The 17,783-nt window shown below is 58.8% G+C and overlaps 1 protein-coding gene across 10 annotated transcripts in view; it reads left to right on the forward strand.

Moving 5' to 3' along the window:
• Positions 1-16,878, forward strand: part of DISP3 (dispatched RND transporter family member 3) — a 58,397-nt gene extending 41,519 nt beyond the window's left edge. For 3 of the 10 annotated variants that reach the window (NM_020780.2, XM_011541828.4, XM_011541829.2), the window contains 12 exons: positions 14-175; positions 3,269-3,382; positions 4,503-4,639; positions 5,978-6,162; positions 8,883-9,013; positions 9,114-9,286; positions 10,234-10,360; positions 10,892-11,037; positions 13,708-13,867; positions 14,338-14,451; positions 14,805-14,971; positions 15,651-16,878. In NM_020780.2, the coding sequence (NP_065831.1) occupies positions 14-175; positions 3,269-3,382; positions 4,503-4,639; positions 5,978-6,162; positions 8,883-9,013; positions 9,114-9,286; positions 10,234-10,360; positions 10,892-11,037; positions 13,708-13,867; positions 14,338-14,451; positions 14,805-14,971; positions 15,651-16,013 (1,979 nt within the window). In that variant the 3' untranslated portion in view covers positions 16,014-16,878. Of the gene's footprint in view, positions 1-13; positions 176-1,614; positions 1,914-2,692; positions 2,770-3,268; positions 3,383-4,502; positions 4,640-5,977; positions 6,163-7,298; positions 9,014-9,093; positions 9,287-10,233; positions 10,361-10,891; positions 11,038-13,707; positions 13,868-14,337; positions 14,452-14,804; positions 14,972-15,650 lie in introns of those variants that run through there. The other 7 variants (XM_047426135.1, XM_011541830.3, XM_011541831.3 and 4 more) reach the window with 7 other exon arrangements.
• Positions 16,879-17,783: the final 905 nt, after the last annotated feature.

The following is a 17,783-nucleotide window of genomic DNA, read 5'->3' on the forward strand; positions in this document are numbered from 1 at the left end:
CCTTTCCTCACAGGGCTGTTCGTCTCCATCCTCATCTTGTCCCTGGTGTTCGCCAGCCGGCTCCGCCCCGCCAGCCGGGCCCCGCTACTCTTCCGGCCTGATACCAACATCCAGGTGCTGCTGGACCTCAAGTACAACCTGAGCGCCGAGGGCATCTCCTGCATCACCTGTTCAGGTGAGGCTTCTAGCCAGGCTGTCCCTGGCCCGCTCAGGTGTCCGGGTCCCAAAGACTGTTGGTCTGAGAGATGCAGGATCCAGGGTCCCCATCAATGCCAGACCTCAGGCAAATCCCACTCCCCTCTGAGCCCCCATGTTCCCACAGTTCATTCAACAGATGCCTGCTGGGTGCCTGCTGGGTGCTGGCTCTGGGGAGGTACTGTGGGCGGGAGGCATAGGCTTCCCAAGCTCAGGGAGTTCACATTCCAGCTCTAGGGCCCGGTCACTGTAATAGTAGATCTGAGCTTTGGCGGAGGAAGAATAGGGTGTCTTAGAGGCCCACGTCATGGAAGGCTTCCTGGAGGAAGTAACGTCTAGGCCACAACTCACAAGAATTGGGAGGAGTTAGCCAGGCTGGGAGGGGAGAGGAGGAAAGAAGAGGGGTCAACCAGGTGGGGAGGGGAAAGGAGGGAAGGGGTGGGGTTAACCAGGCTGGGAGGAGAAAGGAGGGAAGAGGAGGGGTTAGCCAGGTGAGGAGGGGAGAGGAGAGAAGGGGTGGGGTTAGCCAGGCTGGGAGGGGAGAGGAGGGAAGGGGTTAGCCAGGCTGGGAGGGGAGAGGAGGGAAAAGGAGGAGTTAGCCAGGTGAGGAGGGGAGAGGAGGGAAAGGGTGGGGTTAGCCAGGCTGGGAGGGGAGAGGAGAGAAGAGGAGAGGTTAACCAGGCGGGGAGGGGAGAGGAGGGAAGAGGAGGAGTTAGCCAGTTGAGGAGGGGAGAGAGGGAAGGGGTGGGGTTAGCCAGGCTGGGAGGGGAGAGGAGGGAAGGGGTTAGCCAGGCTGGGAGGGGAGAGGAGAGAAGAGGAGAGGTTAACCAGGCTGGGAGGGGAGAGGAGGCAGGAGTCTAGGCAGAGGAGAGCACCAGAGGTGGGAAAGACCAATGCCACATTTGAGAGAGGCAGCTGCAGGAACTAAGTCTGGCCCAGTGGACTGGGATAGGGCAGATGGGCTGAAGTGAGGGGTCTGGATTTTATTCTGATTGTCACTGGAAGCTAGTCACGTGGTTTAAGTGGAGAAGCGGGGTGAGGGAGTCTCCCAGGTGCTGTGTGGAGGTGGACTAGGGCACTGGGGTGGAAGCTAGCTGGGAGGCTGAGAGCTGGTGGTGCTGGGACCAGCATGCTGATGGCAGCGATGGTGGAGTCAAGAGGTTTTTAGGAGGTGGTTTCCATAGGACTTGGTGACGGAGTGGGAGTCGGGAATGAGCCAGGAGGGAAGACAGAGATGGCTCCTTGATTTTGAGGTAGCTGGCCCAGGCCGCATTTTACAGAGGGGGAGCAGGCGAAGTCAACCCAAGGTCATCTGACTTTGCCAGGGCAGTTAGAAACCAAATGAGAAGACGCCTGGGTGAGTGCTTCCAGCTCACAGGAGCAGATCTGCTGGTGCTGTCATTACCTTTATTTAATTAGGGCGGTGCTGAGATCAACCTGGCCTTCCCCTTGGTAATGGCAGCCAAATGCGTGATAATCCACTGCAGCTCCGAGAGGCACCAGAAGAGCCCCTCACACTTCGGAGCCAGCCCTGGCCACGTCCCCAGCTCCTCTACCCCACTGCCAGGATGTGGCATTGCTCCCCATCATCACCGCCGCCACAGGCCTCCTGCCCACAGATGGACAAACCCCGAAGCTCCCTGACAACATCTGGGGCCAGGACCCAGCCAGAGCCCAGCCAGGACCCAGCCAGAGCCCAGCCAGGACCCAGCCAAGACCCAGCCAGGACCCAGCCAGAGCCCAGCCAGGACCCAGCCAGAGCCCAGCCAGAGCCCAGCCAGGGCCCAGCCAGAGCCCAGCCAGGACCCAGCCAGAGCCCAGCCAGGGCCCAGCCAGGACCCAGCCAGGGCCCAGCCAGGGCCCAGCCAGGGCCCAGCCAGGACCCAGCCAGGACCCAGCCAGGACCCAGCCAGGGCCCAGCCAGAGCCCAGCCAGGACCCAGCCAGGACCCAGCCAGAGCCCAGCCAGGACCCAGCCAGAGCCCAGCCAGGACCCAGCCAGAGCCCAGCCAGAGCCCAGCCAGGACCCAGCCAGAGCCCAGCCAGGACCCAGCAAGGACCCAGCCAGGACCCAGCCAGAGCCCAACCAGGACCCAGCCAGGACCCAGCCGGAGCCCAGCCAGAGCCCAGCCCCTACTCCCTGTGCCTCTTCCTCTGGGAACTGCCTCTTGGAGGGACCCCTTCAGAGTACAGCAGAGTGCTTCGGCTTTACAAAGGGCAGGCGAGGCCAGAACCCAGCGGGGCTGCAAGTCCCTCCCTGGGCAGGTCCTTTCACCTCTGCTTTCCACTCCATCAAGTGGGGTTCATGGGAACAGCCTCAGGATGGCTGTGAGGATTAAAACTTTGAAGGTGTAGTTCTCTCATTTCTAATTTAAAAAACCCAAAGGAAGGGCTAACACACAACGCTTGAGGCAAAACAGGAATATATGTCTCCCACCATGTCTGCCAGCTGATGACCTTGGGTCACTCTAACAGTCACTCCTGTTAATTGGATGCAGAGGATGTGATGTCCCACCCCCGAGGGAAGTGTGGCATCATCTCCACCCGACAGAGGCGGCAGAGTGGCACAGAGAGGGTGAGCACGGGGGCAGAGTGGCACAGAGAGGGCAAGCGGGGGCAGAGTGGCACAGAGACAGCAAGCAGGGGGCAGAGTGGCACAGAGAGGGCGAGCAGGGGGCAGAGTGGCACAGAGAGGGCGAGCAGGGGGCAGAGTGGCACAGAGATGGCAAGCAGGGGGCAGAGTGGCACAGAGACGGCGAGCAGGGGGCAGAGTGGCACAGAGACAGCAAGCAGGGGGCAGAGTGGCACAGAGAGGGCGAGCAGGGAGCGTTTCAGTGTTTTTCTCTGGGCAGGCTGATGGTGCCTTTCTCTGGGCCTAAAATTCCTATAAATTTGGTATTTGATTTTTTAAAAGTTCTTTCTAGTTTCTTTCTGACCCCTGACACCCACCCCCTCCAGTCCCTGGGCCCCAGTTCCTGAGACTGTCTCAGATCCCAGCCTCTTCCCTCTGCCCATCGGGCCCAGGCCAGGATGTCCTGCTGTCCTGCTGTCCTTGACATGGCGCTGGGGGGCAGGTCTGTTCCAGGAGAAGCCCCACAGCCTGCAGAACAACATCCGGACGTCCCTGGAGAAGAAGAGGCGAGGCTCAGGGGTCCCCTGGGCTAGCCGGCCTGAGGCCACCCTGCAGGGTGAGCACTGGGGGTGGAGGGTGGGGAAATCCTCCCTGGTGCTAGGGTTGAAGGCCCTGTAAGGAGAGCAGATAAAATTCCTTCTGGATTCTCCTTCAAGAAGGAGATTGTGTGTTCCTGGTCACTGCAGAGGAGCTGGGGATGGGGGGTGAATTTGGGGCCCTCACCTCCCATCCCGCCAGGACAGTAGGCTCCCGCGACACCCTGGTCTGTGGTGCCCCCAGAGCCTCCCTGTGCACCAAAGCCACCCTGAGTGTCCAGGGGCAGAGGTGGGCATCCTGGGCCCTGAACACTGGCTTGTCCCTGCTGGAGTCTCCCTCAGAGGTGGGTGCTGGGTCAAGTGTACTGGGGGAATGAATGCCCCATCAGGCAGCTGTGTCTGTCCCTGTCACCCTATGGCACTGTTGCCACCTCTCTCCTACTACTGTCACTCCCAGCACCAGCCCTGTACCAACACTAGCACATTTTCAGCAGGATGCCCTCCATCACTGTCACCTCCGCTATCTAGTCCACCCCATCCCAGTGACTACCACCTCCCCCACCATCCCTACCACCCCATCCAGTGCCCACGACCTCCCCCACCATCCCTCCTACCCCATCCCTGTGCCCACCATCCCTGCCACCCCATCCCAGTGACTACCACCTCCCCCACCATCCCTGCCACCCCATCCCTGTGCCTACCATCTCCCCCACCATCCCTGCCACCCCATCCCTGTGCCTACCATCTCCCCCATCATCCCTGCCACCCCATCCCTGTGCCTACCATCTCCCCCATCATCCCTGCCACCCCATCCCTGTGCCTATCTCCCCCACCATCTCTGCCACCCCATCCCCGTGCCCACTATCTCCCCCACCATCCCTGCCACCCCATCTCTGTGCCCACTATCTCCCTCACCACCTCCCCCACCATCCCTGCCACCCCATCCTGTGCCCACCACCTCCCCCACTATTATTGCCATGGACCTGGTCCAGTAGAGAGGGGCACAGCCAGCATTTTGAGATGAGCCCAAGGCCAGGACTGAGCTCGTTAGTCGACAGAGCTGAGGGTGGGCTGCTCCAGGGTCAGGAGAAGCCAGTCGAGGTCAAGTCCACCCCTCTTTCATCCCTTATTTGTCCGTAGATTTCCCAGGCACCGTGTACATCTCTAAAGTGAAGAGTCAAGGCCACCCCGCTGTCTACAGGCTCTCCCTCAATGCCAGCCTGCCTGCTCCTTGGCAGGCTGTGTCGCCTGGGGATGGAGAGGTGCCCTCCTTCCAGGTGAGCCTGGGCTGTCGTGAAGTGAGCCGCCACCACTGTGGGTGGTGGGGGGCTCTCAGGGCCACACTGGTGGGCAGCCCTGGCCAATAGGGAGGGAGAAGCAGCTTTGAGGATGAAGACCCCCCTCCCCTAAACCAGCCATGTCTGTGACAGGGACCTGCCGAGTGGTAGCAGCGTGGGCTTCTGAGTCAGCCAGGCCTGGATTCAAATCCTGGCTCTGCCATTTATTAACTGTGTGTCTTTAGGCAGATTACTTACTCTCTGAGCCTCAGTTTCCTCATCTGTGACATGGGGATGCAACAAGCACCAGCCAGCATTGTTGGAGGGGTGTGAGGTGAGGCCTGTGCCGTGCAGAACGCCTGGGTGCAGTCCCTCCTCAGGCAGTGGCGGCCAGGAATCTTGCTGTCCTTGGTAGCTGCTCCAGCGCTGCAGAAAGGAGTCCCCGAGCCCAGACTTGAGTTTTCCCCTTCATGGGAGTCATTTGTGTTTCTTTTCTTTTTCTTGGGGGTGGGGGGAGGACAGGGGCTTGCTCTGTCACCCAGGCTGGAGTGCAGTGGCATGATCATAGCTCACTGCAGCCTCGACCTCCTGGGCTCAAGCGATCCTCTCTCATCAGCCTCCTGAGTAGCTGTGACCACAGGCACACACCACCATGCCAGCTAATTTTATCTTTTATTTTTTGTAGAGACAGGGTCTCTCTGTGTAGCCCAGGCTCATTTGTGTTTCTTTAACGTGGTACACACCCTCCATGGTGACAGGGACACGCGCCAATTCATTTGTTCAGGATTTATATTTCCATTTGGAAGATGAGGTCTCTGAGGCTTTTCCTGCCTCTAAGCCTCGCATGTGCAGTTCCCACTGCCTGAAAAGCTTTTCCTTCAGCTTCGTGCGTGGCTGACTCCTAGGTGCTCGTTCAGGTCTCAACATGCCTGTTGGTCCCCACAGAGCCCTGCCCCGGCGCCTTTCTCGCCTTGCCCTCCTCTCCCTGCCATTTATCCTGTCTTGTCTTCCTTATTCTTGGAAGCCATCATCATTGCCAGCTCCAAGAGGTCAGGGACCGTGCCCCTCAGAGCCTGGCACAGTGCCTGGCATGGGACAGACACTCAGTGAATGATTGTTGAAGGAAGAAACAAGGCTCAGAGAGGGAGGAAGGGATTTGCCCAAGTGCTGAACTCAAACCCAGGCCTCCCAAGCCTCTGCCCAGGGCTCTGTCCCCAACTCCGAGGACTGGGACAGGGTGAACTATGCCGAGGAGGGAGGGGACGGAGCCTGAGGCTGGCCCAGGCCGAGGCAGCCCCCCCGAGTCATGTGTCTTGTCTCTGTCAACCCACTGCTTAGGTGTATAGAGCGCCTTTTGGTAACTTCACCAAGAAGCTGACCGCTTGTATGTCTACAGTAGGGCTGCTCCAGGCGGCGAGCCCCTCCCGCAAGTGGATGCTGACGACCTTGGCCTGTGATGCCAAGCGGGGCTGGAAGTTTGACTTCAGCTTCTACGTGGCCACCAAGGAGCAGCAGCACACCCGGTAACAGAGCCTGGCAGACAAGCCGGTGCCCATCAGCCCGGCTGCTTCTTTGCCCTTTTCTCTCTTTTCTCTCTCTTTTCACATGAGGGATGCCAGCAGGCCCCCTCACTTTTTTTTTTTTTTCTTACTCTGTTGCCCAGGCTGGAGTGCAGTGGCACAATCTTGGCTCACTGTAACCTCTGCCTCCCAGGTTCAAGTGATTCTTCTGCCTCATCCTCCTGAGTAGCTGGGATTACAGACATGCACCACCACTGGTACCTGCTTAATTTTTGTATTTTTAGTAGAGATGGGGTTTTGCCATGTTGGCCAGGCTGGTCTTAAACTCCTGAGCTCAGGTGATTCACCTGCCTTGGCCTCCCAAAGTGCTGGGATTACAGGCGTGAGCCACTGCACCCAGCCCTGAGGGATGCCAGCAGACTCCTTTAAGAAACTGCTGGCCAGGTGCGGTGGCTCATGCCTGTAATCCCACCTCGGGAGGCCGAGGTGGGCGGATCACGAGGTCAGCCGATCGAGACCATCCTGGCTAACACAGTGAAACTCCTTCTCTACTAAAAATACAAAAAATTAGCCAGGCATGGTGGCACGCACCTGTAATCCCAGCTACTCAGGAGGCTGAGGCAGGAGAATCACTTGAACCCAGAGGCAGAGGTTGCAGTGAGCCGAGATCGCGCCTCTGCACTCCAGCCTGGGCAACAGAGCGAGACTCCATCTCAAAAAAAAAAAAAAAGAGAAAAAGAAACTGCTGTCCATTTCCACCTACCTGCTCAGATGGGTCTCTGCCCAGGGCTGGGGAGTGGAGAACATTGGCAAAGAGACGGGCCCGGGAGCTGCTCCCCACCTTGATAGCTCCTCAGGGGTTGCAGTGGCCACCTGGCTGTCCCTCTGGCATACCAGGCCCCTTTCCATCTCAGGCCCTTTGCATTTACTGCTCTCTGTGCCTAGAATGCTTTTCCCAGCTCCTCAAGTGTGAGACAACTTCTCAAGATTCAAGTCCCTGTCCAAAAGTCACCTCTTGGGAGAGGCTGTCCCTCTCCAAGTGCCACATCCAGCCTCTCTCCATACGTCACCCACTGCTCTCCTGGCCCCATTGCCACCTGCCACCATGCTGACCTGCAGTGTTACCTGTCTTCCCACAGGAGCACACAGGCATCCTGTGGTAGCACCTTGGCCGTCTCATTTGGTGCCGCCTCCCCAGCACCTGTCACGGGTGTCTGGCGTAGTAGGTACAAATAAGTACTTGCTGAATGAATGAATGAGTACACTCCACACTTCCTTGACAAGGCACTCACCCACACTCTAAATATATCATTAATTCAGAAAATGTTTATTTAATGCCCCTGCCCCTTCTGCTGGAAGGAGAGCGAGGGGAGGGCCCCTGTTGTATTCACTTGCCACAGGCCCAGTCCCTGCTAGCACCCAGTGTGAAGTCGGGTCCCTACTACATGCCGAGTCAGAGGCTGCATTCTGTGCTCTCGGGATCTCCACGCCATCCAGGGGCACCTTTTCTGGGGTTTCATTCCCCATGTTGTAAACACAGCCCTGCATCCATTTATCTGTGGAGGCCATATTAGCCAAAGGTCTCCTCTCTCTGCCGTTCACTGATTTAACAAACTGTGGGCTTCAACTGTGCTGGCACTGTGCTAGGGATATGGTAGTGACAAAGACAGATGTGACTCCTGCCCTCGAGCTGTCTAGTGGGAGACAGGCCACTAACAAGTAAACAGCGATATCATTACAAACTATGATACGTGCTCTGAAAGAAATAGCCCCACTGTCATTGTGGAGAACAGTGGTACAAGGCCATGCTCGGTGACACACAGGGACTGTGGTCTCTGACAGAACTCGGTGATACGCGGGGACTGTGGTCTCTGACGGGGCTCGGTGACACACAGGCACTGTGGTCTCTGACAGAACTTGGTGATGCACGGGGACTGTGGTCTCCGATGGGGCTCAGTGACACATGGAGACTGGTCTCTGACGGGGCTAGCTTTGGAGTGTCAAACACCCACAGGAGCCTGAACTCTGCATGGGGCTGAGGGCTGCAGCTTGGAGGCCAGGGAATGGCAGGACAGCCACCCACTGGGTCCCTTCCAGCCTGGGACCCTGACTCGGGGGTGGGGGCCCCTCTGCCTGTCCTCCCCTGAGCCCCAGGCTGGGCTCACTCTGCACAGACACATCAGTGGGCCAGGGGTCAGGCAGGCTGCCTGGATGAGCTGGAAACATTCTAGAAAGAACTTTGAGCTGCACTGGGTCTAGTGGTTAGCCAGCTGTTGACACTGGAGCCCTTCCTTCCTATAGAATCTAGAGACTCCCTAACTGTTGGGGTTGAGGCAAGGCTGGGGGCTTCTGAGCGAGGACCACTAGGGTTGGCCCTGGGGGTCCCTCCTGAACCCTCGTACCCCCGGGGGACAGTTTGAAAGCTGCTGGTCTTCTCCACCCTTCATGACTCCTATGGGGAGACTGAGACCCAGAGGGGCAGGGCCTTTACTAGGTTCCCATAGTCAGCCTTGGCAGGGGCAGGGCTAGAACAGCCTCCAGACCCCCAGCCCAGGGCACATCCCCCAGCCCTCAACCTGAGAACAAATCCCCATGCCGGGGCAGAGCCCGAGTCCAGACCCCATGACACCCCAGCCCCAGTCCCAACCCTGGCCTGCTGGCCTCACCTCCCCTGACTCCTCCTAGCCTTTCCGGCCTCAGCCCAGCCTCCATTCCCTCCACAGGAAGCTGTACTTCGCCCAGTCCCACAAGCCCCCCTTCCACGGGCGCGTATGCATGGCACCCCCTGGCTGCCTGCTTAGCTCCAGCCCCGATGGGCCTACCAAAGGCTTCTTCTTCGTGCCTAGTGAGAAAGGTACGGCAAGGGCACACAGGTGGGGACCTCAAGAGCTGAGACCTCGGGGCTCAGGAGCTGGACCCTGCCTTCCCTTACAGCTGTGACTCCCTGTTCGCAGTGCCCAAGGCCCGTCTCTCAGCCACCTTCGGCTTCAACCCCTGCGTGAACACGGGCTGCGGGAAGCCGGCGGTGCGGCCACTAGTGGATACCGGGGCCATGGTCTTTGTGGTCTTCGGCATTATTGGCGTCAACCGCACTCGGCAGGTGGACAACCACGTCATTGGAGACCCGGTACGGGGCATGCGTCGGGCAGATGCCGAGGGCCCCAGCTGCAACAGTCTTGCAAATAAGCACCTGTCCAGGGAACCATGTCCAGCTCCTCACACCCCCTCTTGGCTCCTCAATGGCTCCTCTAACCCAGACAGAACCCCTATGGGCCCCTGGGGGTCCGGTTTTTCTTGAGGACTCAATGGCGTTGACCTCTTAGATTCACCCAGGAATCTGGGTTTAGGGCCCAAGCTGGATGCCTGTGAGGGACTGGAATGGAGAGAGGGCAATCCAGGTGGACACCTCCGTGCCCTCCTCCTTGCCCTCCCCCTTCCTCTGAGCTCGGCCGTGGCTTTCTCTCTGAGGCCTCCCTCCCTCACATGCACTCCTGTCCAATGTGGGGCTCTTCAGTTTTTGAAAGCACTGCTTGAGCCGGGACTGTTCTGGGCACGTAGTGGGTGCTAAGGATTCCTAGGAGGAAGGACAGGTGGGTGTCCTTTGCCTTTATTAGTCACAGCCCAGCGGGGTACACGGGAATGGCAGCCATGGAGTAAGTCGGGGGCAAGGTGGAGTCGGAGGAGATCTGTGTGTTCAGTCCACACTGGGTGTCTGCAGGCGCTCGGAGCAGGGGTGGGGGGACCAGGCAGGTTCTGCAGGACAGTGAGGATGTGGCTGTCTGGGAGGGTGGGGAGAAAAGCAAGAAGTCCAGGTGAGAAGGTGGTGAGGGAAGGGGAGGAGGTGAAACAGAGGGTCCTGTGTGGGGTGGGCAGTGATGGGAGCAGATGTTGCTGGCGGGGGCAGGGCAGAGGGTTAGGGTGGAGCAGTGGGTGAGCAGTTGCAGGCTGCCAACATGAGGGTGACAGGTAGCAGGAAGCTGCTGGAGGTTCTGCCCCAGGGTTGGGGGTGAGCACCCAGGACTGAGTCCCCGTCTCACTGAGCGGCCCGGGCCGGCTTGTTTCTCCTTGGGAAAGGGTAGTGTTGTCTACGACAGCAGCTTTGACCTCTTCAAGGAAATTGGGCACCTGTGTCACCTCTGCAAGGCCATCGCAGCCAACTCCGAGCTGGTGAAGCCGGGTGGGGCCCAGTGCCTGCCTTCAGGTGCGTGGGGTGTGGGGAGCTGGTTCCTCCGAGGGAGGATGGACTGACTGGGGAGGCACAGAGGCCGTGGTCCAAGGTAGACAGCCCGAAGGACAGTGTCTGGCATGTGGGGGTCTTTTGCAGATGTGTATCTGTGCTGAGCATGTCCACACCAGGGTGGGGTGTGTGCCGGCAGTCGAGGGTTTTTGGATGTGAGCAGGCTTGTGTGTGAACAGGACTGGTGCAGAGGTGCATGTGTGTGGGATGGGGGCACATCTGCGGGAGTAGCTTTTCCAAAATTAGGGGGCGGGGCCAGGGGCTGGCCCCACAGCCAATGTGGATGAGGTCACCACCGGGGTGTCCCTGGGAGGGGCCCACAGGTCATGTTCCACCCCGATGGCAAATGCATGTTGTAGGTTTCCCAATGCCGTTGCCAATGGTTACAAGCACTCTAAGCCTCAGAGGTATGTGAGTGCGTGGGCACAGGTGTGATGCAGGGGGACAGGCTCTTCCAGGGCCACCACGCACTCCCTTTCTTGCCTCTCCCCGCAGGCTACAGCATCTCCTCCTTCCTGCAGATGTTGCACCCTGAGTGCAAGGAGCTGCCCGAGCCCAACCTGCTCCCGGGGCAGCTGTCCCACGGGGCAGTGGGCGTCAGGGAGGGCCGCGTGCAGTGGATCTCCATGGCTTTCGAGTCGGTGAGCCCAGGCAGCCTCACTGGGTGCCATGCTGCGTACTTGCCCGGGGTGTGCCACCTCTGATCCCAGCCCTCTTCCCAGATCGGGGGGGAGATGCTGAGGCCCAGAGAGGTGGAGTGACTTGCCTGAGGTCACATAGTTAGTGGGTGTCAGTGTCGAGTGTGAAACCAGACCGCCTAACTGCAGAGCTCTGCCCTTTCTTCCCCATGGGCGGCCTGCCAGTTCCCTTCCACCCACCTTTCCCCTTCCCTCCCTCTCCACCAACTGGGGGTCCACGGTATTTTTTAGTCTCTGGTCTGTAGGGGCCGGTGGAAGTCCAGGATGCCCCCCTCTGCCACTGTGGGAGGCCAGGTTGGGGCCCCAGACCCTGGCAGCCTCCCTTAGGGTGGCCAGGAGTCCGGCCATCCCCCGTACCTCCCTGCTGCCTGTCACCTCTGGACGCTCGCTGGGCTCTGCCCAAGGAGGCATAGGCACACATGTGTGCACATACCCACACATGCACACACTCCTGACCTGGGCACTGTGGGGACTCTCGGCCCTGGCACATGGCTCTCCCAAGCTTGGCAAGTCCGTCCCTGCTGCCTCCGTGCAGAGACCTGGGCTCAATCGTTGCTGGGATCCTGGTGTGCTCTGTGTCCCTGAGCAAGTTACTCGTCCCCTCTGGCCTCATCTGTAGAAGAGCCCCTCTGGCAGGTGTGGAGATAAGAACACATGGGAAAGTCTGGGGACTAAGAATCAATGTGACGGCTTAACTGGGGAGGTGATTCTCCTCTGGCCCCCCACCCTGACTTCCTTCCCACTATTTATTTGTGTTACTCATTGCACAACCAACAAAACCAGCCATGAACCAGGAGGGCCTCAGAGCCCTCAGCGAGCCCCCAGGCAAATGCAGACACCAGTTCAAAGCCCCAGATGGGTCTTTTTAGGTTATGTTTTTTTTGCTGTGGTAAAATATACATAAGGTAAAATTGACCATCTTAACCGGTTTTTTTGTTTGTTTGTTTGTTTTGAGTCAGAGTCTCTGTCCCCCAGGCTGGAGTGCAGTGGCACGATCTTGGCTCACTGCAACCTCCACCTCCCGGGTTCAAGCACTTCTCCCACCTCAGCCTCCCCAGTAGCTGGGACTACAGGTGCACACCATCACACCTAGCTAATTTTTTTAATTTTTATTTTTTGGTAGAGACGGGGTTTCACCATATTGGCCAGGCGGGTCTCGAACTCCTGACCTCAGGTGATCCACCCACCTCGGCCTCCCAAAGTGCTGGGATTACAGGCATGAGCCACTGCATCTGGCCTGAACCATTTTTAAGCATACGACTCTGTGGCATTAAGTATGTTCACACTGTTATGCAACCATTACCATCATCTACTTGCAGAACTTTGTCTTTCCAAACTGAAGCTCTGTCCCTAGTAAACACTAACTCCCCCTCTCCCCCTCCCACAGCCACTGGCACCCACCATTCTACTTTCTCCATGAATTTGACAACTCTGGGGGCCTCATGTGAATGGAATCATATGGTGTTTGTCCTTTGGTGACTGTTTCTTTTTTTTTTTTTTTTTTTTTTAATGGAGTTTCACTCTGTCACCCAGGCTGGAGTGCAGTTGCGCAATCTTGGCTCCCTGCAACCTCCGCCTCCCAGGTTCAAGTGATTCTCCTGCCTCAGCCTCCCAAGTAGCTGGGATTACAAGTGTGCGCCACCACACCTGGCTAATTTTTTGTATTTTCAGTAGAGACAGGGTTTCACCATGTTGGCCAGGCTGGTCTCGAACTCCTGATCTCAGGTGATCCGCCTGCCTCAGCCTCCCAAAGTGCGGGGATTATAGGCGTGAGCCACTGCGCCCAGCCGGTGACTGGCTCATTTTACTCAGTGCAAGGTTCACCATGTTGCAGCAAGTGTCAGAACTCACCTCCCTCTGCAGACTGAAGCCCCAGGCAGTTCCAGGGAGGAGAGAAGTCCCCACTCAGGCTCACCACACGGCAAGGTGCCCGCTTCCAAGCTGACCCCACCAGCACTCAGACACGCATGCACACACACACGCAGACCTACTATGAACTGGCTTGTGCTCAGCAAGAGCAGAATTGATGAGCAGATACCTTAAGAATCTTTTAGAGCAGGGTGAGTGCCTATTTCTCTCATTCATCATCCATGAGCACCTCTCGGGACTGGGCACTGTGGGCCAGCCAGGCTGCTCCTGCCCTTGCAATTCACAGTCCCACCTGCCAGGGCCAGGCAGGTTGCCAGGCAGTGACAAGAGCAGGGGAAGCACTGAGGGTTTGGAGACACTAAGGAGGCCCACCTTGGGGCATCAAGGAAGGCTTCCTGGAGGAGATGGAACCCCAGAAAGCCCTGAAGGATGAGCAGGAACTGGCTGAGCAGGCAGAGGGAACAGCATGCACTCTGTGTGGACAGGAGAGCATGGGGAGCCCTAGGAGCTGAAGGGAGTTCTGGTGGGCAGGGACTGTGGTTGCATGTGGATCAGTGCTGCTGTCACAACCACATGATGCCTCCAGAAGCTGGTGGGGACTCATTTTGGATTGAATCGTTGTTCACACCCTCCCCAACACACGCACCACTCCATTGGTGGCCGCAGAACAGACCAGCCATGCCTGGGAAGGGCGGGTGGGCCACAGTCCCTGCCTGTCTCACTAGCTCACATCTCTCCCCACAGACCACGTACAAGGGCAAATCCTCCTTCCAGACCTACTCGGACTACCTGCGCTGGGAGAGCTTCCTCCAGCAGCAGCTGCAGGCCTTGCCCGAGGGCTCAGTCCTGCGCCGGGGCTTCCAGACCTGCGAGCACTGGAAGCAGATATTCATGGAAATCGTAGGCAAGCGGCAGCCTCGCCCCTCCATCCTGGGTGGGCAGGAGGCAGAGGGACCTGGGGCCGGGAGGGCACAGAGCGGCCTGAGTCACAATCTCCATCCTGGCCAAGAGCCCTGAGGAAACCGGGTGGCACGGTGGCTGGGACATTGATCAGAGGCTGGAGTTTGGGTCCTCTCCTGTCGGGGGCATCTGGCCACGTTCTCTGATCTGGACTTTGGCCACCTAAAAAGTAACAGTCATGACCATGATGGCAGCTGCCAGTTACCAGCCCCTCCTAGGTGCCTAGGCTCCGGGCTGAGGGCCTGACCTGTGTTCTCTTCAACTCCAAACAAGGCCGGTAGGGTAGGTCCTGTTATGACCCCATTTTACAGACTGGGAGTCGGAGTCTCAGAGAGGTCAAGGGCTCACCCCAGCAGCACAGCTTGCTGCGACCGCCCACACAGCAGCGCACTGAGGCCCTGTCCTCCCTTGCAGGGGTGCAGAGCGCCCTGTGCGGCCTGGTGCTATCCCTGCTCATCTGCGTGGCCGCGGTGGCCGTGTTCACCACCCACATCCTGCTCCTGCTGCCCGTGCTCCTCAGCATCTTGGGTACGTGGGCGAGGGGCTGGCAGGCACCCTGCTGGTAGGGACGGGAACAGACAGTCTCCCCGGTGGCCCCAGGTAGCCTCCAGGCCTCTGAACCTTTCACTGTCACATCTCAGCGGAGGCTCATAGGACTGTCTCTCCTGCATGTCTGTGCTCCTGAGCAGAGCCGGGGTACCCAGGTAGTAGCCCTCAGCTCAGTGATGTGTTACTGCACCTGTCCCCTCCCTCAGGGGTCCCCTCGGTGTGCCTTGTTTCTCCTGTCACCTGAGGGTGGGGGCTGGACTCCAGACCTCCCTGTTCCTCTGAGGCCTCCAGGGCGGGGGATCCGAGCTGCCCCCCCTGCTGTCTCCTTGCAGGCATCGTGTGCCTGGTGGTGACCATCATGTACTGGAGCGGCTGGGAGATGGGGGCTGTGGAAGCCATCTCCCTGTCCATCCTCGTTGGCTCCTCCGTGGATTACTGCGTCCACCTGGTCGAGGGCTACCTGCTGGCTGGAGAGAACCTGCCCCCCCACCAGGCCGAGGTGCGCACCCTGCCCGCCTTACCCACTTCCCACCACATTGGGTCTTCTCCCACCTGGGTGCAGCTGAGGGACCCTCAAGGGCAGCTGAACATCCCAGCACCAGGACCCCCATGCAGGCTGTGTTCTAGAAACTAAGGTTTCCCAAAGCTGATCCCCAAGCCCCAGGGACTCAAGTTCTAAGGTCCACACCTCCCAGCCTCAGTCTTCCCAAGTGAACAATGAGAGGGTTGGACAGACGCAGGATTCCAAGGGGGCCCTCCTGCTTCACACTGCCCCAGGTCCATGACTCATTCTCCTTCCAGCCACGACCCAGAGGCCACAAGTCTGCTCCAGCCCCTGGTGGCTTGGTGAGGACATGTTCACATACTCAGTGCCAAAACCGGCTCTGGGCCTAGTAACGATTTTTTTCTTTAGTTTGGAATTGCGTTGGTGTGAAAACATTCACAAATGTGTAAAGATCAACTCAGTTACACAGGACCTACTGTGCAGACCCTCGCGTCCTGTTGCCATAGCAACACCTACCTGGTTCCTACCCTCCCAACCCTGGGAGGCCACTTGCAGCTCTCATCCCAGTAACAGAGCAGGAACCTGGCGTGGGGTGGGGGTGCGTGATTCCCCAGGTGCTGGCCAGAGGGGTCCCGCAGGCAGGCTGGGCTCCCAGCTCTCCTCTTGCCCCCAGGACGCCCGAACGCAGCGCCAGTGGCGTACGCTGGAGGCCGTGCGGCACGTGGGCGTGGCCATCGTCTCCAGTGCCCTCACCACGGTCATCGCCACAGTGCCCCTCTTCTTCTGCATCATCGCCCCATTTGCCAAGTTCGGCAAGATTGTGGCACTCAACACGGGCGTGTCCATCCTCTACACGCTGACCGTCAGCACCGCCCTGCTGGGCATCATGGCGCCCAGCTCTTTCACTCGGACCCGGACTTCCTTCCTCAAGGCCCTGGGTGCCGTGCTGCTGGCAGGGGCCCTGGGGCTGGGTGCCTGCCTCGTGCTCCTGCAGAGCGGCTATAAGATTCCCCTGCCCGCAGGGGCCTCCCTATAGCCCGGGACGGGCTCTGGACACTTGCACCTTTGGTCCCATGGGTGGGGGACAGGAGCTGCTTCCCAGCTCGACTTCAGCTAGCTGTGTCCCCAGGCCTGGGCCCAGGGCGCCCTGCGGGCCAGCGTGGAGGCTGACACCCACACAGATGGTGTGGACCATGCTGCCTTGTGGAGCTGGGAGTTGGAGACAGCCGCCACCCCACAGGCCGGGCTACTGGCAGCCACACTCGGCTTTTTGCCCAGTGGCAGAAGAGACCAGCCCTCCTCCCATGCCCGGTCACCATGGGGGTCAGGTTATTTTTGTAGGGGGTCTCCCTCTCACACTGCCTCAGTGCTCACAACCTTCCAGTGTGGATGTTACAGGGTGGCCCCCATTCTACCGATGTGAAAACTGAGGCGCCAGGACACAGTGGCTGCCCTGTCGCTGGATCAGTAGCAGAGCCAGAGCTGCCTCCGAGCGCCATGCCGCCCTCGGGAATCATACAGGAAGAGCACAGTGGATCCAGGGTGGGGGCCTCTCACCCCCTAACCCCGCCCCCCCGCAACCCTCCCCTTCAGCTTTACGGCGGCCAGTGCTGAATGGCCCTGTGGCCCTCCCTGGGCCTTTTGGTCTTGGCCAGAGAAGACAGAAGGACCCGGCTTGGGCTTCTGCATGTCCTACCCCTGACCCCAGCCTCAAGGGGCCCCTCAAAGGCCCTCTCTGGGGGCTCTGGGGCTCAGCACAGCTTTCCTCATGGATCTAAGCCCCTGTCTTTCCCACCTGACTCTGAGTGGATGTTTTGGGGGATGGCCCCTGTGGGGAGGAGCTGCCATGCCGGCCGCCTGCTCACGGCAGAAGGTTGCTATTAAAATGACATAGGATTGCAGACTGCTGCTGTTAATACGAGCATTTTAAGCACTGCTGTCTCTACCGCTTTTCTCAAGTTGAAGTGACCTTGTGCGCTGCCCAGCCTGAACGTGGCGCAAAGGCTGGGGCTGGTGCCAGAGGGAGAGGTGAGTGGGCTGGAGGGTGACCGACCCTCCTGGAACAGGTCACAGGGCACCCTAGGGGAGGTGGGGTTCAAGAGATGCTTCTCTCTTTAAGGGGTCCAACTGGCTCCACAGAGGGGGCATTTTGAGGATGCCTTTGGTGTGCTGAGTATTGTGCTGGGCACTGAGCTCTTTCCCTGGAGACAGACATTGCCACCAGGCTTCATGAGTGTGGACTCAGATTGAGCTGGAATGAATCCCTGAGGGTGGGAAAGACATCAAAGGGGGTTTCCAGGCCAGCCCTCCTGGCCTTCTGTAAATATTAACTGGGGGCCTGGGGATGCAAGACAGATGTACACCATTGTGTCCTCCACTTAGCGAGTGTTTGTTGAGGGACTGTCAGACCTTGGCCCACCGTGCAAAGTGAAGACAGACATCAAACAAGCAATGAGTGAGGCTAGCAGGCGGCACTGACTGTGCCAGAGGCTCTCCTCAGAGTTCGTGTCCGTGTCCCGGGGCTGCCACGAAAAAGCTCCACGCACTGTGTGACTTCCACAACAGAAGTTTATTCTCACAGTTCCGGAGGCTGGAAGTCCAAAAGCAAGGTGTTGGCAGCGTTGGTTCCTCCTGCAGGCTTTCAGGGAGTCCGTCTCCTGCTTTTCTGGCTTCTGCAGGTTGGTAGCAAACCAGCCTTCCTGTTCCTTGTCTCCAAGAGGCGTCACTCCAGCTTCTGCCTCTGTCCTCACGTGACTTCCTTATCTGTTTCTCTGTTTAGGTCACCTTCTTTCTAAGAGGGGTACCA

This window comes from Homo sapiens, chromosome 1, assembly GCF_000001405.40.
Source record: "Homo sapiens chromosome 1, GRCh38.p14 Primary Assembly".
NCBI classification, from domain to species: Eukaryota; Metazoa; Chordata; class Mammalia; order Primates; family Hominidae; genus Homo; species Homo sapiens.